The 20,146-nt window shown below is 42.9% G+C and overlaps 2 long non-coding RNA genes across 2 annotated transcripts in view, besides 11 other annotated features; one reads left to right on the top strand and one right to left on the bottom strand.

Annotated features, from left to right (window-relative positions):
• Positions 1-1,497: 1,497 nt before the first annotated feature.
• Positions 1,498-20,052, bottom strand: LINC02474 (long intergenic non-protein coding RNA 2474). The gene is made up of 3 exons (NR_149071.1): positions 19,960-20,052; positions 3,319-3,462; positions 1,498-1,701 (listed from the first exon to the last, which is right to left on the bottom strand). It is a non-coding gene; the product is annotated as a long intergenic non-protein coding RNA 2474 (long non-coding RNA).
• Positions 7,185-7,927: an enhancer, noted in NCBI's record as "OCT4-NANOG-H3K27ac hESC enhancer chr1:222151877-222152619 (GRCh37/hg19 assembly coordinates)". NCBI's record gives its function as "activates a minimal SCP1, AML or CMV promoter by ChIP-STARR-seq in naive and primed H9 embryonic stem cells {active_cell/tissue: H9 hESC(naive and primed)}" and the evidence as "EXISTENCE:reporter gene assay evidence [ECO:0000049][PMID:30033119]".
• LINC02257 (long intergenic non-protein coding RNA 2257) overlaps positions 7,942-20,146 on the top strand; it is a 64,876-nt gene continuing 52,671 nt past the window's right edge. Inside the window, exon 1 of the long non-coding RNA NR_149057.1 lies at positions 7,942-8,102. This is a non-coding gene — a long non-coding RNA (long intergenic non-protein coding RNA 2257). The remainder of the gene's footprint in view (positions 8,103-20,146) is intronic.
• Positions 7,956-11,030: a mobile genetic element, noted in NCBI's record as "direction; reverse".
• Positions 7,956-13,384: a biological region, named in NCBI's record as "1q41 HERV-mediated proximal recombination region". NCBI's record gives its function as "recombination_partner: LOC107325942".
• Positions 9,184-9,236: a non allelic homologous recombination region, noted in NCBI's record as "sub-region 2, recombines with sub-region 2' within the 1q41-q42 HERV-mediated distal recombination region". NCBI's record gives the evidence for it as "EXISTENCE:nucleotide sequencing assay evidence [ECO:0000219][PMID:25246103]".
• Positions 9,239-9,398: a non allelic homologous recombination region, noted in NCBI's record as "sub-region 1, recombines with sub-region 1' within the 1q41-q42 HERV-mediated distal recombination region". NCBI's record gives the evidence for it as "EXISTENCE:nucleotide sequencing assay evidence [ECO:0000219][PMID:25246103]".
• Positions 12,401-13,013: an enhancer, noted in NCBI's record as "OCT4-NANOG-H3K27ac hESC enhancer chr1:222146791-222147403 (GRCh37/hg19 assembly coordinates)". NCBI's record gives its function as "activates a minimal SCP1, AML or CMV promoter by ChIP-STARR-seq in naive H9 embryonic stem cells {active_cell/tissue: H9 hESC(naive)}" and the evidence as "EXISTENCE:reporter gene assay evidence [ECO:0000049][PMID:30033119]".
• Positions 12,934-13,384: a mobile genetic element, noted in NCBI's record as "direction; reverse". NCBI's record gives its function as "suggested as a possible recombination region in PMID:20951845".
• Positions 13,014-13,625: an enhancer, noted in NCBI's record as "OCT4-NANOG-H3K27ac hESC enhancer chr1:222146179-222146790 (GRCh37/hg19 assembly coordinates)". NCBI's record gives its function as "activates a minimal SCP1, AML or CMV promoter by ChIP-STARR-seq in naive H9 embryonic stem cells {active_cell/tissue: H9 hESC(naive)}" and the evidence as "EXISTENCE:reporter gene assay evidence [ECO:0000049][PMID:30033119]".
• Positions 13,626-14,238: an enhancer, noted in NCBI's record as "NANOG-H3K27ac hESC enhancer chr1:222145566-222146178 (GRCh37/hg19 assembly coordinates)". NCBI's record gives its function as "activates a minimal SCP1, AML or CMV promoter by ChIP-STARR-seq in naive and primed H9 embryonic stem cells {active_cell/tissue: H9 hESC(naive and primed)}" and the evidence as "EXISTENCE:reporter gene assay evidence [ECO:0000049][PMID:30033119]".
• Positions 14,239-14,850: an enhancer, noted in NCBI's record as "NANOG-H3K27ac hESC enhancer chr1:222144954-222145565 (GRCh37/hg19 assembly coordinates)". NCBI's record gives its function as "activates a minimal SCP1, AML or CMV promoter by ChIP-STARR-seq in primed H9 embryonic stem cells {active_cell/tissue: H9 hESC(primed)}" and the evidence as "EXISTENCE:reporter gene assay evidence [ECO:0000049][PMID:30033119]".
• Positions 14,851-15,463: an enhancer, noted in NCBI's record as "OCT4-NANOG-H3K27ac hESC enhancer chr1:222144341-222144953 (GRCh37/hg19 assembly coordinates)". NCBI's record gives its function as "activates a minimal SCP1, AML or CMV promoter by ChIP-STARR-seq in naive and primed H9 embryonic stem cells {active_cell/tissue: H9 hESC(naive and primed)}" and the evidence as "EXISTENCE:reporter gene assay evidence [ECO:0000049][PMID:30033119]".

Raw genomic sequence — 20,146 nt, 5'->3', positions numbered from 1 at the left:
GGTTGCCACGTGGCCACTTTAGGATCCTTGTGCCACTGAACCAACAGGCAGAAAAAGAGGTCATCCTACTGGCTGAAAGAACTGGTCCCAATTTACCAAGGGAAACAGGCCACTGCTCACAGCAGAGGCAAGGAGAATTCTCCTGGGTACCTTTTAATACCATTATGCACAGTAGTAAAGGTTAATGAAAAGCTATAGCAAAAAAAAAAAAAAAAAAACAACAACAAAAAGGCAGAAAAAGCAGAACAACAAGTGAGCCCTTAAAGAATGAAGGTTTGGATCACTCTACCAGGTAAAGAACCCCAAACAGCTGAAGTTCTGACTGAGAAAGATGAAAATATAAAATGGATTATGGAAAAATAAAATCATAGATATCAATTGTGAATAGCATTTTAACCATAGATGTCAATTATGAATAGCATCTTAACCAATTATAGAAATGAAGACCGTGGTCACTTTGCATATTTATCTTATTGTATGTACAAGGGACTTCCAAATTTGTGGAAAAATAAAATTAACAAGTAAAAACATAAAATATAAACTTTATTTTTCAATATGAGTTCCGTTAAGTTCAAGTCACTTTTATAAACAATGACATCAGCCATTTGGTTCATTCATAAAGAACTGAGGGTCTTGGGAATTTAACTATGTCAGTGCAATCTTTTTCATATTATCAACTGAAGAAAAATTTTTTTAAGATTAGGAAATCTTAAATAGCTATATACTTTAACTTAAGGTAAAAAGTTTCTTAAGATTAGGAAACAAAAAGAAGTTAGAAGGAACCAAACCAGGACTGTAAGGTGGATGCCTAATGATTTCTCATGGAAAATCTCACAGAATTGCCCTTGTTTGATGAGAAAAATGAGTAGGAACATTGTCATGGTGAAGAAGGACTCTCTGGTGAAACTTTCCTGGGTGTTTTTCTGCTAAAGCTTTGACGGACTTTCTCAAAATACTCTCATAATTAGTAGATGTTATTGTTTTTTGGCCCTCCAGAAAGTCAACGAGTAAAACACCTTGAACATCACCAAAAAACTTTGCCATGACCTTTGCTCATTGCTCATCTGCTTTTGCTGTGACTTGACCATTTCCACCTCTTGGCAGTCATTGCTTTGATTATGCTTTGATTATGTCTTTGGGATCATATTGTAAAGTCATGTTTCATCTCCTGTTACAGTTCTTCAAGGAAATGCTACAGGATCTTGATCCCACTTGTTTAAAATTTCAATTGAAAGTTCTGCTGTTATTTGCAGCTAACCTGGGTACAACAGTTTTGGTACTCATTGAGTGGAAAGTTTGCTCAATTTTAATTTTTCACTCAGAATTGTGTAAGGTGAACCAGCTGTCTACATTGTTGGCTATTGTCAGTGCTGTTAATTGTCAGTCTTCCTCCGTTAGGGCATGAACAAGATTAATTTTTTCCTTCCAAATTGATGTAGATGGTCTGCCGTTGCAGGCTTCATCTTCAACATCATCTTGTTTCTTCTTAAAATAAGTTATCCATTTTTAAACTGCTGATTCATTTGGGGTATTGTCCCAATAAACTTTTTATAAAGCGTCACTAATTTCATCGTTCTTCTACCCAAACTTCATCATAAATTTGATGTTTGTTCTTGCTTCAATTTTAGCAGAATTCATGTTGCAATATAGGAGTCCTTTTCAAATGGATGCCTTATCCTTCTCAGTGCTTCAAATTAGATTCTGTTCAGGCATGTTATAACAAGTTAGCACGAGTTTACTTTTGTGCCGAAAATGTTTGAAATCCACACATCTATTTTTATATATATAAAAAATACACATTTTCCGTGAACTTTTTGAAGACCCCTCATATAAGCTAACATTTTCTTCTTCTTATTTTTATTTTACATATAAGTTCTTGTGGGTTAATTTTATAAATTTATTTTTAGGTAACAGAGACTGTGACAGGATTTTAGAAATATTTAATATATAGCCAATGATGAAAATAATGACAACTGAGACTGTGCATCTCCTCACTGTAAAGCAAAGCTGAGGACTTCTTTACATTTTAAGACAGCTGTATCTTTTTAGGTGAAATATAGAGTTGTTTCATTGTTGCACAGAAGTGTAAATATGTATAGAAGGGTATACGTAGAGACTGTGGAGCCAAATACTTTACTGTGCCAGTTGTCAGCTTATTTTCTTTCAGCTCCAACTCCATCCTTCATTCACTATTCTGTGGATAATGCAGCTGGACCCTGCAAATATTTCTTCTAAGTCAGCTGACATAATGTTAAGCTTTGTCAGTAGAAGTTATTGGTGGAATACTGCAGGAGGAAGGGGATTCTCTTTCTGATTACAGTGTGTTTGTTTCATCAACCTCCTTCAGCATACCTGGTTTCTCCAGCACCCAGTTCTAGCAGCCCAGGAGCTTCTCCAGAACTTGGTTCCTACAATACAGGTAGCTTTTCTAGTATACAGATTTCACTGCAAATGGCAGCCAGCAGCACCTAGCAGCCAGAAGCTTTCCTTGACACCTCTTCAGGCAGCTTTGTAGCAAAGTATTGCCAGCAAGATGCATCCTGCAGACAGTTTCCTGAGTTTGGAATTCCCTACTCTTTACCTCCAAACATTCCTATCCTTTAATTCCCACCACAAAAGTCACCTCCACAAAGTGTTTCCTGATCCTTCCAGTTAGAGTTCATTGCCTTCTTTTCTGAATGGCCACACCTTTTTCATGTATGTTCACTTTCTAGTCTATGTCATACTTATTTGTGTACTTATCTGCTTGAGCACAGTAAAAACTGAGAATTTAGCAGAATTATTTGGAAATGGCTGGCAACCACTAAATATTGGTTAATGAATGAATCAGTTAATATGGAATGATGCTGTGTTGGCACAATAAAGGAGTAGCTCTGAACACAGAGGGACTTTTTCGAAATAGTGAGATATATGAGGACTGGAATAATACAAGAAGTTTTCCTGGAGGAAGGATATATGGGATTTGGAGAGGCAGAGGGGAGGGAGGGCTGGGATATGATCCCTGGTGTAGACACAGCATGAGCAAAGGCATGGAGGTGGTGTGGTAGAGAGTTGTCATGTGTTCCAGGGACAAGGAGGAGACTGGCTTAGCTGGAGTGAATGTTGGGGATAGTGAAAGTTTAGATATGGAGGAAGTGTACACCTTGGAGGATGATGTGGAATGTTTTATGAGCTGAATAATCCAAACCTTCCCTAGCTGCTCACATATTTTACCTGAAGTGTGCATTCTTTACATCACACACACACACACACACACACACACACACACACACACACACGGAAGGAAAAGGAAGAAGGGATTGCCACTACTTTACCTACCATTCTCCCATTTCAGGGTAGGGAAAATTTCATAAAATGGATTATCTCTCAGGTTCTTCCAGATGGATGTGGTCAAAGGCAGATGCTGTGTTTACAGGTCTCACTGAATGATGATGCAAATGTCTCGGACCCTCTTGCAAAGGTCTTTATTCAGGGAGAGAGTTCAAGAATATTGGTTGTGGTCTTCAAACAAAATTTGTAAAATTTTTGCTTATTGTATGAGAAAAATATAACTGTAAAGCCATCCAAGCCAGTAACTGGGGTCACCTTTTTCCACGCATGCATGCAAAGCTGGCTCAAGACTGACCCACATTGTCCTATGCTATGACATCAGGACGGTGGGGTCATCAGTTGGCTCATTCCCTAGTATCAGCAGATGGATAGAGGATGGAAGGTAATAACATTGTCACATTTGCTTTATCTTATGTGAGATACACACAAATTGAAACAGATGTCTCCTAGGATCTTACAGGCCATAACAGACCCTTCTCTAATTGGTCATACATTGTTTGTAAAATTATATTCAATATCTAACCCTGAACATAATGCCTGTGACTTCCTTTTATTTTCCAAGGGCAGATTCTTATAAGAAAATTCTGTGGAAAATCATCTCCCAACATTGGCAATACCTGCTTCCCCCCTTTCCTCACCCTCTCAAAATGTGAAAATCATAAACATCTTTAGGATATCCCTTTAGGGAGACTGCCTTTAGAAGTTGAGGAGTCCAGAATCAATTATTAGATCACTGGTTTTCAAATTTGTCAGATTACAGAGAACCTGAGAGTCATGTTAGTATTAAGGATTACTAATGTGGGTACTTTTAGTTCCTTATGAAGTGTAAAAATTTTCTCAGCTGAAAATATGACTATAGTATTCATATATTTATCTAGTAGGAAACTATACACATATTTTTATTAACAAAATAAATAGCTATGATGACAGTGGCAAAAATCCCAAGCTGCCCAACTAGATATGATTAATGACTTCCGAGCTTTTCAATTAATTTCAAATATATATATATATATATATATATATATATATATTCTTATAATGTTATCTGCCAGGAGCTGCCACCAATCAAACAATGGCAAGTGTAGAAGGCTAAATAAATAAAAGTAGGAGAAAAGCCTAAAATTGAAAAGAAATTAGCCGTCAATTTAATTTTTCTATGATTTAGAAAAAGGCTACCATTACTTTATTTTATCAACAGAATACTTCTGCTCCGGGGAAGACAAACATTCCACGGGAGACAAATCTAAGAACCTCTGGAGTATGCAATAGTTATCACAATTTCTTCATTACACTAATTTCAGAATAAATGTGGTATATTAAAGACAGATTAATTTGGCAGCAGTGTTCAAGATGAATAGGAGTTGGTGCAAAAAAATAAGTCATGGTGCATAGGAAGCCATTGCAGTGTCTAAGTGTGAGGGAATAGCTTCTGGATGAGGTAGGTGACAGCCCAAGTGGGGGAAAATGTGTGTAAGAATCATCACAAAAACAGAAATGTGAGGACTTGAAGAGTCATTCAGTATAATAGATGATGAAAATGATGGTCAAGTTTCTAGTCTGAGTAAGCAAGAAATGAACTAAAAATAAGTAATTTGGGAGAGGAAATTTGAGGAATTAAAGTGAATGCATTCAAAAATACTTTTTATTTGAAGCGATGGTGTTAAAACTAAATATAAAACTATAAAAATATAGTAATGTTTAACAACCGCATAAAAAGATGCTCAACATCACAAAGCATTAGGGAAATGCAAATCAAAACCACAGTGAGACTGCTTCATACTCATTAGGATTGCTACTATTAAAAAAAAAAAAAAAAGAAAGAAAGAAAGAAAAAGAAAACAAGTGCCAGCAGGGATGTAGAAAATAGGAACCCTTGCGCACTGTTGGTGGAAATGCAAAATGGCACAGCTTCTACAGGAAAGAGTATGACCATTCCCCAAAACATTAAATGTTGAATTACCATATAATTCAGCAATTCCACTTCTGGGTATATACCCAAAATAATTGAAAGTAGGGTCTCAAAGAGATTAGTTTTATTTTTAGTTTTTCAGTTAGGGTCTCATTGTGTCACCCAGGCTGGAGTGTAGTGGTGTGACCTCTTCCGGTCAAACTATCCTCCCACCTCAGCCTTCCTAGTAATTGCGATATGCCAACATGCCAAGCTATTTATTATTATTATTATTATTATTTGTAGAGATAGGGTCTCACTTTGTTGCCTAGGCTGGTCTCAAACTCCTGTGCTCAAGGAATCCTTCTGCCTCCCAAATTGCTAGGATTGCAGGTGTGAGCCACTGCACCTGGCTCTCAAAAGGTTTGTACACCTGTGTTCATAACAGCATTATTTGCAACAGTCAAAAGATGGAAGCAACCCAAATATCCAATGAAGATGAATGAACAAACAAAATGTGGTCTATACATACAGATAGAATATTATTCAGCCTTAAAAAGGAAGGAAATTCTGACACATGCTACAACAAGGATCAACCTTAAGGACATTATGCTTAGTGAAATATGTCAGTTACAAAAAGACAAAAGTTATGTAAACTGGCTTACATGAGGTACCTAGAGTAGTCAAATTCGTAGAAACAGAAAGGAGAATGGTGGTTGCCAAAGGCTTGGAGTTGGGGGGGGAGAATAGGAAATTGTTATTTTCTTAGTATGGAGTTTCAGATTTGCAACATGAAAAAGTTCTGGAGCTTTGTTTCTCACCAATGTAAATATACTTAACACTACTGAACTGTACACTTAAAAATGGTTAAGATGGGCCAGGCATGGTGACTCATGCCTGTAATCCCAGCACTTTGGGAGGCCAAGGCAGGAGGATTGCGAGGTCAAGAGATCGAGACCATCCTGGCCAACATGGTGAAACCCCATCTCTACTAAAAAATACAAAAATTAGCTGGGCATGGTGGCACGTGCCTATAGTCCCAGCTACTCGGGAGACTGAGGCAGGAGAATCACTTGAACCTAGGAGGCAGATGTTGCAGTGAGCTGAGATCACACCACTGCACTACAGCCTGGTGACAGAGTGAGACTCCGTCTCAAAAAAAAAAAAAAAAAAAAAGGTTAAGATGGTAAATTTTATGTTATGTGTAGTTTATCACAGTTAAAAAAGTAAAAATACAATACTGTAGTGTTGTGAAAGGAAGGAAAAATTATACTTAAGGTTAGCAAAGGGTTTTAGATGAAGGGATTGAAGGCTTATTGATACCTAGGGCTCTATTTTATGAAGCAGCCACCTGGTGGCAGGAATTTTAGAAGGAATATCTCTAAACTTCATTAAAACCTTTTAAGGTAGGTATTATTTTACTCATTTTAAAAGATGGGACAGGTGACACTCAGAGAGACTAAATAACTTGACTAGAACCCACAGCTGGCCAATGATAACACCAAGTTTGGGCTCCATAGGATATGGTGTCTCAGGGTACCATGTGGTCTCTACTGAAGGAAAAAAAGAGCTGAAGCCTGAGCTCAGAAAAGCTACAAAAATGTATAGGCACAGGAGGGAGACAAAAGTCAGAAAATATTTAGCAGAAAAGTTAGGTTAGGGAGAGAGAGAGGCTGGGGAGCAGAAAAGTGCAAGGTAGTAGGAGTCTGAGAAAGAATTCTGGGGAAGCAATTTTGGTCTGTATCTGCCTATTTTCATGTAATTTCTTATCATACTACCTTTGTACTTAATTACTCCAATTTTGTTGAGAAAAGCAAGCTAGATGAGCCTCATTTGCTTTAATTCTTCTTTACTATGTTGTTGACTGTTTTGAAGGCATGTTTTAAAAAATCACTCTGTGCTGCTTTCTATTTAATTCTTTATTTGATTGTTTGATCCCACTGGAAATACTCACTGTAGGTGTCACTCAGAATATGTTCTCACTGAATTATCTGCTGGACTACCTTAGAAAAAAACAAATTTACCCAAGTTGGATTCTGCATCTCCCTTTCCCATGACCTGCCCCTTCCATTACCCAATAAGCGTATGCGCATATACTTAACCACCCACACTCCCAACCACACATACACACACACACACACACACACGCCATGATGTATCAGATGTCTCCATGTCTATTACTCTTTAGTAATAAAGGACATCAATTCTTCCAAACCCTTGGCTTTCATTTAGAGATTTCAATTGTTATATAGTAGATATTGAATAAGATGCCATCATCATCATAGGTGTCAGGCCTCTGAGCCCAAGCCAAGCCATCGCATCCCCTGTGACTTGCATGTATACGCCCAGATGGCCTGAAGTAACTGAAGAATCACAAAAGAAGTGAATACGCCCTGCCCCCACCTTAACTGATGACATTCCACCACAAAAGAAGTGTAAATGGTCGGTCCTTGCCTTAAGTGATGACATTACCTTGAAGTCCTTTTCCTAGCTCATCCTGGCTCAAAAAGCACCCCCACTGAGCACCTTGCGACCCCCACTCCTGCCCACCAGAGAACAAACCCCCTTTAACTATAATTTTCCTTTACCTACCCAAATCCTATAAAACGGCCCCACCCTTATCTCGCTTCACTGACTCTCTTTTCGGACTCAGCCCGCCTGCACCCAGGTGAAATAAACAGCCATGTTGCTCACACAAAGCCTGTTTGGTGGTCTCTTCACACAGATGCACATGAAATTTGGTGCCGTGACTCGGATTGGGGGACCTCCCTTGGGAGATCAATCCCCTGTACTCCTGTTCTTTGCTCCGTGAGAAAGATCCACCTATGACCCTCAGGTCCTCAGACCGACTAGCCCAAGGAACATCTCACCAATTTTAAATCAGGTAAGCAGCCTCTTCTTACTCTCTTCTCCAACCTCTCTCACTGTCCCTCAACCACTTTATCCTTTCCACTCTTCAATCTCTCCCTTCTCTTAATTTCAATTCCTTTCATTTTCTGGGAGAGACAAAGGAGACACGTTTTATCCGTGGACCCAAAACTCTGGCGCGGGTCACGGACTGGGAAGGCAGCCTTCCCTTGGTGTTTAATCATTGCAGGGACACCTCTCTGATTATACACCCATGTTTCAAGGGTGTCAGACCACGCAGGGACGCCTGCCTTGGTCCTTCACCCTTAGCGGCAAGTCCCGCTTTTCTGGGGAAGGGGCAAGTACCCCAGCCCCTTCTCTCCATGTCTCTACCCCTTCTCTGCTTTTCTGGGAGAGGGGCAAGTACCCTCAACCCATTCTCCTTCACCCTTACTGGCAAGTCCCACTTTTCTAGGAGGGGGGCAAGTACCCCTCAACCCCTTCTCCTTCACCCTTAGCGGCAAGTCCTGCTTTTCTATGGGGCAAGAACCACCAATCCCTTATTTCCATGCCCCAACCTCTTATCTCTGTGCCCCAATCCCTTATTCCTGTGCCCCAACCTATCTCTGCACCCCAATCCCTTATTTCCGTGCCCCAACCTCTTATATCTTTGTACCCCAATCCCTTATTTCCACACCCTGACCTCTTATCTCTGCACCCCAACCCCTTTTCCCACTTTTCTGGAAGGTAAGAACCCCCAAACCCTTCCCTCCATTTCTCTACTCTCTCTTTTCTCTAGGCTTGCTTCCTTCACTATGGGAACCTTCCACCCTCCATTCCTCCTCCTACTCCCTTGGCCTGTGTTCTCAAAAACTTAAAACCTCTTCAACTCACACCTGACCTAAAACCTAAATGCCTTATTTTCTTCTGCAATACCGCTTGACCCCAATACAAACTCGACAGTAGTTCCAAATAGCCAGAAAATGGCACTTTGAATTTTTCAATCCTGCAAAATCTAAATAATTCTTGTAAAATAGGCAAACGGTCTGAGGTGCCTGACGTCCAGGCATTCTTTTACACATCAGTCCCTTCCTAGCCTCTGTGCCCAGTGCAACTCATCCCAAATCTTCCTTCTTTCCCTCCCGCCTGTCCCCTCAGTACCAACCCCAAGCATCGCTGAGTCTTTCTAATCTTCCTTTTCTACAGACCCATCTGACCTCTCCCTTCCTCCCCAGGCTGCTCCTCGCCAGGCCGAGCTAGGTCCCAATTCTTCCTCAGCCTCTGCTCCTCCACCCTACAATCTTTTTATCACCTCCCCTCCTCACACCTGGTCCGGCTTACAGTTTCGTTCCGTGACTAGCCCTCCCCCACCTGCCCAGCAATTTACTCTTAAAAAGGTGGCTGGAGCCAAAGGCATAGTCAAGGTTAATGCTCCTTTTTCTTTATCCCAAATCAGAAGCGTTTAGGCTCTTTTTCATCAAATATAAAAACCCAGCCCAGTTCATGGCTCGTTTGGCAGCAACCCTGAGACACTTTACAGCCCTAGACCCTAAAAGGTCAAAAGGCCATCTTATTCTCAAAATACATTTTATTACCCAATCTGCTCCCGACATTAAATAAAACTCCAAAAATTGGAATCTGGCCCTCAAACCCCACAACAGGACTTAATTAACCTCACCTTCAAGGTGTACAATAACTGAAAAAAGTTGCAATTCCTTGCCTCCACTGTGAGACAAACCCCAGCCACATCTCCAGCACACAAGAACTTCCAAACGCCTGAACCGCAGTGGCCAGGCGTTCCTCCAGAACCTCCTCCCACAGGAGCTTGCTACACATGCCGGAAATCTGGCCACTGGGCCAAGGAATGCCCGCAGCCCGGGATTCCTCCTAAGCCGCGTCCCATCTGTGCGGGACCCCACTGAAAATCGGACTGTTCAACTCACCTGGCAGCCACTCCCAGAGCCCCTGGAACTCTAGCCCAAGGCTCTCTGACTGACTCCTTCCCAGATCTTCTCGGCTTAGCAGCTGAAGACTGACACTGCACGATCGCCTCGGAAGCCCCCTAGACCATTCACGGACGCCGAGCTTCGCGTAACTCTCACAGCGGAAGGTAAGCCTGTCCCCTTCTTAATCAATACGGAGGCTACCCACTCCACGTTACCTTCTTTTCAAGGGCCTGTTTCCTTTGCCTTCATAACTGTTGTGGGTGTTGACGGCCAGGCTTCTAAACCTCTTAAAACTCCCCAACTCTGGTGCCAACTTAGACAATACTCTTTTAAGCACTCCTTTTTAGTTATCCCCACCTGCCCAGTTCCCTTATTAGGCTGAGACACTTTAAATTATCTGCTTCCCTGACTATTCCTGGACTACAGCTATATCTCATTGCCGCCCTTCTTCCCAATCCAAATCCTCTTTGCATCTGTCCTCCTCTTGTATCCCCCCACCTTAACCCACAAGTATAAGATACCTCTACTCCCTCTTTGGCGACGGATCATGCACCCCTTACCATCTCATTAAAACCTAATCACCCTTACCCCACTCAACGCCAATATCCCATCCCGCAGCACGCTTTAAAAAGATTAAAGCCTGTTATCACTCGCCTGCTACAGCATGGCCTTTTAAAGCCTATAAACTCTCCTTACAATTCCCCCATTTTACCTGTCCTAAAACCAGACAAGGCTTACAAGTTAGTTCAGGATCTGCACCTTATCAACCAAATTGTTTTGCCTATCCACCCTGTGGTGCCCAACCCCATACACTCTTTTGTTCTCAATACCTTCCTCCACAACTCACTATTCCGTGCCTGATCTTAAAGATGCTTTTTTCACTATTCCCCTGCACCCCTCGTCCCAGCCTCTCTTTGCTTTCACTTAGACTGACCCTGACACCCATTAGGCTCAGCAAATTACCTAGGCCATACTGCTGCAAACCTTCACAGATAGACCCCATTACTTCAATCAAGCCCAAATTTCATCCTCGTCTGTTACCTATTTCAGCATAATTCTCATAAAAACATACATGCTTTCCCTGCTGATCATGTCCGATTAATCTCCCAAACCTCAATCCCTTACAAAACAACAACTCCTTTCCTTCCTAGGCATAGTTAGTGCGGTCAGAATTCTTACACAAGAGCCAGGACCACACCCTGTAGCCTTTCTGTGCAAACAACTTGACCTTACTGTTTTATCCTAGCCCTCATGTCTGCGTGCAGCGGCTGCCACGCTTTAATACTTTTAGAGGCCCTCAAAATCACAAACTATGCTCAACTCACTCTCTACAGTTCACGTAACTTCCAAAATCTATTTTCTTCCTCATACCTAATGCATATACTTTCTGCTCCCCAGCTCCTTCAGCTGTACTCACTCTTTGTTGAGTCTCCCACAATTACCATTGTTCCTGGCCCGGACTTCAATCCAGCCTCCCACATTATTCCTGATACTACACCTGACCCCCATGACTGTATCTCTCTGATCCACCTGACATTCACCCCATTTCCCCAAATTTCCTTCTTTCTTGTTCCTCACCCTGATCACGCTTGATTTATTGCTGGCGGTTCAACCAGGCCTAATCGCCACACACCAGCAAAGGCAGGCTATGCTATAGTACAAGCCACTAGCCCACCTCTTAGAACCTCTCATTTCCTTTCCATCATGGAAATCTATCCTCAAGGAAATAACTTCTCAGTGTTCCATCTGCTGTTCTACTACTCCTCAGGGATTATTCAGGCCCCCTCCCTTCCCTACACATCAATCTGGCGGATTTGCCCCCACCCAGGACTGGCAAATTAGCTTTACTCAACATGCCCGAGTCAGGAAACTAAAATACCTCTTAGTCTAAATAGACACTTTCACTGAATAAGTAAGGGCCTTTCCTACAGGGTCTGAGAAGGCCACCGCAATCATTTCTTCCCTTCTGTCAGACATAATTCCTCAGTTTAGCCTTCCCACCTCAATACAGTCTGATAACAGATGAGCCTTTATTAGTCAAATCAGCCAAGCAGTTTTTCAGGCTCTTAGTATTCAGTGAAACTTTTATACCACTTATGGTCCTCTGTCTTCAAGAAAAGTAGAATGGACTAAAAGTCTTTTAAAAACACACCTCACTGAGCTCAGCCACCAACTTAAAAAGGACTGGACAATACTTTTACCACTTTCCCTTCTCAGAATTCAGGCCTGTCCTTGGAATGCTACAGGGTACAGCCCATTTAAGCTCCTGTATAGATGCTCCTTTTTATTAGGCCCCAGTCTCATTCCAGACACCAGACCAACTTAGACTGTGCCCCCCACCAAAAAAAAACTTGTCATCCCTACTATTTTCTGTCTAGTCATACTCCTATTCACCGTTCTCAGCTACTCATACATGCCCTGCTCTTGTTTACACTGCCGGTTTACACTGTTTTTCCAAGCCATCACAGCTGATATCTCCTCCTGCTATCCCCAAACTGCCACTCTTAATTCTTGAAGTAAATAAATAATCTTTGCTGGCAGGACTTTGCCGAATCTCCTTAAGCACTCTCTAATCAGATATCCTGAGTCATCCCAATTCTTAGACCTTTTATACCTGTTTTTCTCCTTCTCTTATTCCATTTAGTTTTTCAATTCATACAAAACCGTATCCAGGCCATCACCAATCATTCTATACGACAAATGTTTCTTCTAACATCCCCACAATATCACCCCTTACCACAAGACCTCCCTTCAGCTTAATCTCTCCCACTCTAGGTTCCCACGCCGCCCCTAATCCCGCTTGAAGCAGCCCTGAGAAACATCGCCCATTCTCTCTCCATACCACCCCCCAAAAATTTTCACCGCCCCAAAACTTCAACACTATTTTGTTTTATTTTTCTTATTAATATAAGAAGGCAGGAATGTCAGGCCTCTGAGCCCAAGCCAAGCCATCACATCCCCTGTGACTTGCACGTATATGCCCAGATGACCTGAAGTAACTGAAGAATCACAAAAGAAGTGAATAGGCCCTGCCCTACCTTAACTGATGACATTCCACCACAAAAGACGTGTAAATGGCCGATCCTTGCCTTAACTGATGACATTACCTTGTGAAAGTCCTTTTCCTGGCTCATCCTGGCTCAAAAAGCACCCCCACTGAGCACCTTGCGACCCCCACTCCTGCCCACCAGAGAACAAACCCCCTTTGACTATAATTTTCCTTTACCTACCCAAATCCTATAAAACGGCCCCACCCTTATCTCCCTTCACTGACTCTCTTTTCGGACTCAGCCCGCCTGCACCCAGGTGAAATAAACAGCCATGTTGCTCACACACAGCCTATTTGGTGGTCTCTTCACACAGACGCGCATGAAAATAGGTACTAGTAAAAATGAAAAGATGCTGCCAATTATAATTATGACATCATCAAGAGGTGTTAAAATATAAGCACTTCGTATGTAAAGTCAGTGAAATATGCTTGTATAAAACTTTACTGTAATAACAAATATATTAAAATACGTTCACCAATTGCTTAATATAGATTCACAGATGGACTAAAAGATCCAACATTGTATTTTGCATTCAAAGAGAGGAGCTCCAGTTTTGCTCTATGCCACAAACCACCCCCTCTCTGCTCTCCTCTCCTCTCCAACCAATGCTTCCTGGCCCTCCACAAAAACTTGGAGAGGCCAGCTGTAGGTGGGAGACGATCTACAGGGTGTTGACGAAAAGAGTAGAACTCTGTAAAGTATTTGAAGAGGTTTATTCTCAGCCAAATATGAATGACCATGGACTGAGACACAGCCCTCAGGAGGTCCTGAGAACCTGTGCCCAAGGTAGTCTGGGCGCAGCTTGTTTGTATACATTTTAGAGAGGCATGAGACATCAATCAAATACATTTAAGAAATGCATTGGTTTGGTCCATCAAGGTGGAAGAGCTCAAAGGTGGGGGGCCTCCAGGCTATAGGTGAATTTACATATTTTCTGGTTGAGGATTGAGTTTGTCTGAAGACCTGGGATAGATAGAAAGGGAATGTTCTGGTTAAGATAAAGACTGTGGAGACCAAAGTCTTTTTGAAGTGTTATAGTGGCTGTCCTTAGAGACAATAGGTGACAAATGTTTCCTATTCAGATTTTAGTTAATCTCTTTAGGATTGGGAGAGTCTGGAAGAAAAAGATGTAGCTATGTCAATAGAGATTCTTTACAGATGCAAATTTTCCCCTACAAAGAAAAGTTTTGCAGGGCCATTTCAAAATATGGCAAAGAAACATGTTTTGGGGTAAAATATTTTGATTTTATCTTTGTCTCCTAATGTTATGCCAGAGTCAGGTTGGAAAGTAAATCATTATATACGGGGTTAAATAAAACTCATCTAATGAGAATTTATGATTTGTAGGGCATGACTCCCCAGACCCCTTAGATAGGAATTTGGGCAAGACAAAAAAAAATCAGAGTTTAGTCCTCAAGGGCTAGAGATCACTTACCTTACTCTCACCATCCTGGTTTAGATCAGTGATTTCCAGCTACCCACGTAGATTTCCAGAAACATTTACTTAATTCTTCCATAGCACCCTGAACATTTTAGCTCTTTTCTTGCCTGATCATAAACATTTCTGACCCCCTCATCCATGTTAATTTGTGTTGTTAATTTATTTTTCGCTTAAGAAGATAAATTTTACTTTAGATTCAGATGTTGAATGGAGGCACAGAGCCCTGATACTCCCATTATAAGCCTTTTCTCATTTACAAATGACCTCATTTACAAGTTTCATTTATAAATTACAAGTTTTTTTTTATAAATTTCCTCCTTTATAAGTTTCTTGCGCATCCGTGTGAAGAGACCACCAAACAGGCTTTGTGTGAGCAACATGGCTGTTTATTTCACCTGGGTGCAGATGGGCTGAGTCCGAAAAGAGTCAGCGAAGGGAGATAAGGGTGGGGCCGTTTTATAGGATTTGGGAAGGTAATGGAAAATTACAGTCAAAGGGGGTTTGTTCTCTGGTGGGCAGGGGCGGGGGTCACAAGCTGATCAGTGGGGGAGCTTCTGAGCCAGGAGAAGGAAATTCACAGGGTTAATCACTCAGTTAAGGTGGGGCAGGAACAAATCACAATGGTGGAATGTCATCAGTTAAGGCGGGGCAGGGCCTTTTCACTTCTTTTGTGATTCTTCAGTAACTTCAGGCCATCTAGGTGCATACGTGCATACGTGCAAGTCACAGGGGATGTGATGGCTTGGCTTGGGTTCAGAGGCCTGACATTCCTGCCTTCTTATATTAATAAGAAAAATAAAACAAAATAGTGTTGAAGTGTTGGGGCGGCGAAAATTTTTTGGGGGTGGTATGGAGAGAGAATGGGCGATGTTTCTCAGGGCTGCTTCAAGCGGGATTAGGGGCAGCGTGGGAACCTAGAGTGGGAGAGATTAAGCTGAAGGGAGGTCTTGTGGTAAGGGTTGATATTGTGGGTTGTTAGAAGAAACATTTGTCATATAGAGTGATGGGTGATGGCCTGGATACGGTTTTGTATGAATTGAAAAACTAAATGGAATAAGAGAAGGAGAAAAACAGGTATAAAAAGACTAAGAATTGGGAGGACCTAGGACATCTAATTAGAGAGTGCCTAAGGAGGTTCAGCATAGTCCTGCCAGCAAAGATTATTTATTTACTTCAAGAGTTAAGAGTGGCAGTTTGGGGATAGCAGGAGGAGATATCAGCTGTGATGGCTTGGAGAAACAGTGTAAACCGGCAGTGTAAACAAGAGCAGGGCATGTATGAGTAGTTGAGAACAGTGAATAGGAGTATGACTAGATAGAAGATAGTACGGATGACAAGTTATTTGGGGGCACAGTCTAAGTTGGTCTGGTGTCTGGAATGAGACTGGGGCCTAATAAAAAGGAGCATCTATACAGGAGCTTAAATGGGCTGTAGCCTGCAGCATTCCAAGGACAGGCTGAATTCTGAGAAGGGAAAGTGGTAAAAGTATTGTCCAGTCCTTTTTAAGTTGGTGGCTGAGCTTGGTGAGGTGTGTTTTTAATAGACCATTAGTCTGTCACTGAATACTAAGAGCCTGAGAAAATGCTTGGCTGATTTGATTAATAAAGACTGGTCTGTTATCAGACTGTGTAGAGGTGGGAAGGCTAAACTGAGGAATTATGTCTGACAGAAGGGAAGAAAGGATTGCGGTGGCCTTCTCAGACCCTGTAGGAAAGGCCTCTACCTAACTAGTGAAAGTGTCTACTTAGAATAAGAGGTATTTTAGTTTTTGTGACTCGGGGCATGTTGAGTAAAGCTAATTTGCCAGTCCTGGGTGGGGGCAAATCCTCCAGATTGATGTGTAGAGAAGGTAGTGGGCCTGAATAATCATTGAGGAGTAGTAGAATAGCAGATGGAACACTGAGAAGTTATTTCCTTGAGGATAGATTTCTACAATGGAAAGGAAATGAAAGGTTCTAAGAGGCGGGCTAGTGGCTTCTACTATAGCATAGCCTGCCTTTGCTGGTGTGTGGCGATTAGGCCTGGTGGAACCGCCATCAATAAATCAAGCGTGATCAGGGTGAGAAACAGGGAAGAAGGAAATGTGGGGAAATGGGATGAACATCAGGTGGATCAGAGAGATACAGTCATGGGGGTCAGGTGTGGTATCTAGAATAATGTGGGAGGCCGGATTGAAGTCTGGGCCAGGAACAATGGTAATTGTGGGACTTAACAAAATGTGAGTACAGCTGAAGGAGCCAGGGAGCAGAAAGTATATGAGTCAGGTATGAGGAAGAAAATAGATTTTGGAAGTTATGAGAACTGTAGAGAGTGAGTTGAGCATAGTCTGTGATTTTGAGGGCCTCTAAAATTATGAAAGCAGTGGCAGCTGCTGCACACAGACATGAGGGCTAGGCTAAAACAGTAAGGTCAAGTTGTTTGGACAGAAAGGCTACAGGGTGTGGTCCTGGCTCTTGTGTAAGAATTCTGACCGCACTAACCATGCCTAGGAAGGAAAGGAGTTGTTGTTTTGTAAGGGATTGAGGTTTGGGAGATTAATCGGACAAGATCAGCAGGGAGAGCAAGTGTGTTTTTACGAGAATTATGCCGAGATAGGTAACAGATGAGGATGAAATTTGGGCTTGACTGAAATGGGGTCTGTCTGTGAAGCCTTGCGGCAGTACAGCCCAGGTAATTGCTGAGCCTAATGGGTGTCAGGGTCAGTCTAAGTGAAAGCAAAGAGAGGCTGGGATGAAGGGTGCAAAGGAATAGTAAAGTAAGCATGTTTGAGATCCAGAACAGAATAATGGGTAGTAGAGGGAGGTATTGAGGATAGGAGAGTGTATGGGTTTGGCACCACGGGGTGGATAGGCAAAACAATTTGGTTGATAAGGTGCAGATCCTGAACTAACTTGTAAGGTTTATCTGGTTTTAGGACAGGTAAAATGGGGGAATGGTAAGGAGAGTTTATAGGCTTTAAAAGGTCATGCTATAGCAGGCGAGTGATAACAGGCTTTAATCCTTTTAAAGCGTGCTGCGGGATGGGATCTTGACATTGAGGGGGTAAGAATGATTAGGTTTTAATGAGATGGTAAGGGGTGCATGATCGGTCACCAAGGAGGGAGTAGAGGTATCTTATACTTGTGGGTTAAGGTGGGGGAATACAAGAGGAGGACGCAAAGGAGGATTTGGATTGGGAAGAAGGGTGGCAATGAGATGTAGCTGTAGTCCAGGAATAGTCAGGGAAGCAGATAATTTAAAGTGTCTCAGCCTAATAAGGGAACTGGGCAGGTGGGGATAACTAAAAAGGAGTGCTTAAAAGAGTATTGTCTAAGTTGGCACCAGAGTTGGGGAGTTTTAAGAGGTTTAGAAGCCTGGCTGTCAATACCCACAACAGTTATGGAAGCAAGGGAAACAGGCCCTTGAAAAGAAGGTGATGTGGAGTGGGTAGCCTCCGTATTGATTAAGAAGGGGACGGACTTACCCTCCACTGTGAGAGTTAACTAAAGCTCGGCGTCCGTGATGGTCTACGGGGTTTCTGAGGCGATCGGGCAGTGTCAGTCTTCAGCCGCTAAGCCAAGAAGGAGTCAGTCAGAGAGCCTTGGGCCAGAGTTCCACGGGCTCTGGGAGTGGCTGCCAGGTGAGATGAACAGTCCGATTTTCAGTGGGGTCCCGCACAGATGGGACACGGCTTAGGAAGAATCCTGGGCTCCAGGCATTCCTTGGCCTGGTGGTCAGATTTCTGGCACTTGTAGCAAACTCCTGGGGGAGGAGGTTTTGGAGGAACCCCTGGCCACTGCGGTTTAGGTGTTTGGAAGTTCTTGTGTGCTGGAGATGTGGCTGGGGTTTGTCTCACAGTGGAGGCAAGGAATTGCAACTTTTTTCTGTTATTGTACACCTTGAAAGTGAGGTTAATTAAGTCCTGTTGTGGGGTTTGAGGGCCAGATTCCAATTTTTGGAGTTTTATTTAATGTCAGGAGCAGATTGGGTAATAAAATGTATATTGAGAATAAGACGGCCTTTTGACCTTTTAGGGTCTAGGGCTGTAAAGCATCTCAGGGTTGCTGCCGAATGAGCCATGAACTGGGCTCGGTTTTTATATTTGATGAAAAAGAGCCTAAATGCTTCTGATTTGGGATAAAGAAAAAGGTGCATTAACCTTGACTATGCCTTTGGCTCCAGCCACCTTTTTAAGAGTAAATTGCTAGGCAGGTGGGGGAGGGGTAGTCACTGAATGAAACTGTAAGCCGGAGCAGGTGTGAGGAGGGGAGGTGATAAAAAGATTATAGGGTGGAAGAGCGGAGGCTGAGGAAGAATTAGGACCTAGTTCGGCCTGGCGAGGAGGGGAGAGGTCAGATGGGTCTGTAGAAAAGGAAGATTAGAAAGACTCAGCGACGCTTGGGGTTGGCACTGAGGGGACAGGCGGGAGGGAAAGAAGGAAGATTTGGGACGAGTTGCACTGGGCACAGAGACTAGGAAGGGACTGATGTGTTAAAGAATGCCTGGACATAAGGCACCTCAGACCATTTGCCCATTTTACGACAAGAATTATTTAGACCTTGTAGGATGGAAAAATTGAAAGCGCCATTTTCTGGCTATTTGTAACTACTGTCAAGTTTGTACTGGGGTCAAGTGGCATTGCGGAAGAAAATAAGATGCTTAGATTTTAGGTCAGGTGAGAGTTGAAGAGGTTTTAAGTTCTTAAGAATACAGGCTAAGGGAGAAGAAGGAGGAATGGAAGGTGGAAGGTTGCCCATAGTGAAGGAGGCAAGCCCAGAGAAAAGAGTAGAGACACAGAGAAGGGGTGGGGGGTTCTTGCTCTCCAGAAAAGCAGAGAAAGGGTTGGGGCACGGAAATAAGGGATTGGGACACAGAGATAAGAGGTCAGGGTGCAGAAATAAGGGATTGGGGCACAGAGATAAGAGGTCGGCGTGTGGAAAGAAGGGATTGGGCGTTCTTGCCCCTTAGAAAAGTGGGACTTACCGCTAAGGGTGAAGGAGAAGGGGTTGACGGGTACTTGCCCCTCCCCCAGAAAAGCGGGACTTGCTGCTAAGGGTGAAGGAGAAGGGGTTGAGGGGTTCTTGCCCCTGCCCCAGAAAATCAGAGAAGGGGTAGAGACATGGAGAGAAGGGGTTGGGGTACTTGCCCTTCCCCCAGAAAAGCGGGACTTGCCGCTAAGGGTGAAGGACTAAGGCAGGCGTCCCTGCATGGTCTGACACCTTTGAAACGTTGGTGAACAATCAGAGAGGTGTCCCTGCAATGATTAAACACTAAGGGAAGGCTGCCTTCCCAGTCCGTGACCGGCTCCGGAGTTTTGGGTCCACGGATAAAACGTGTCTCCTTTGTCTCTACCAGAAAATGAAAGGAATTGAAATTAACAGAAGGGAGAGATTGAAGTGTGGCACCAAGATTGAAAGGAGAAAGAGGTTGAGGGATAGTGAGGGAAGTTGGAGAAGAGAGTAAAAAGAGGCCGCTTACCAGATTTGAAATTGGTGAGATGTTTCTTGGGCTAGTCGGTCTGAGGACCTGAGGTCGTAGGTGGATCTTTCTCACGGAGCAAAGAGCAGGAGGACAGGGGATTGATTTCCTGAGGCAGGTCCCCCGATCCGAGTCACCACACCAAATTTCATGCACATCTGTGTGAAGAGACCACCAAACAGGCTTT

The sequence above is a fragment of the Homo sapiens genome, chromosome 1 (assembly GCF_000001405.40).
Source record: "Homo sapiens chromosome 1, GRCh38.p14 Primary Assembly".
Classification (NCBI taxonomy): Eukaryota; Metazoa; Chordata; class Mammalia; order Primates; family Hominidae; genus Homo; species Homo sapiens.
The sequence above is the reverse complement of the archived record's forward strand: the minus strand, read 5'-3'. Positions and strand labels throughout refer to the sequence as shown.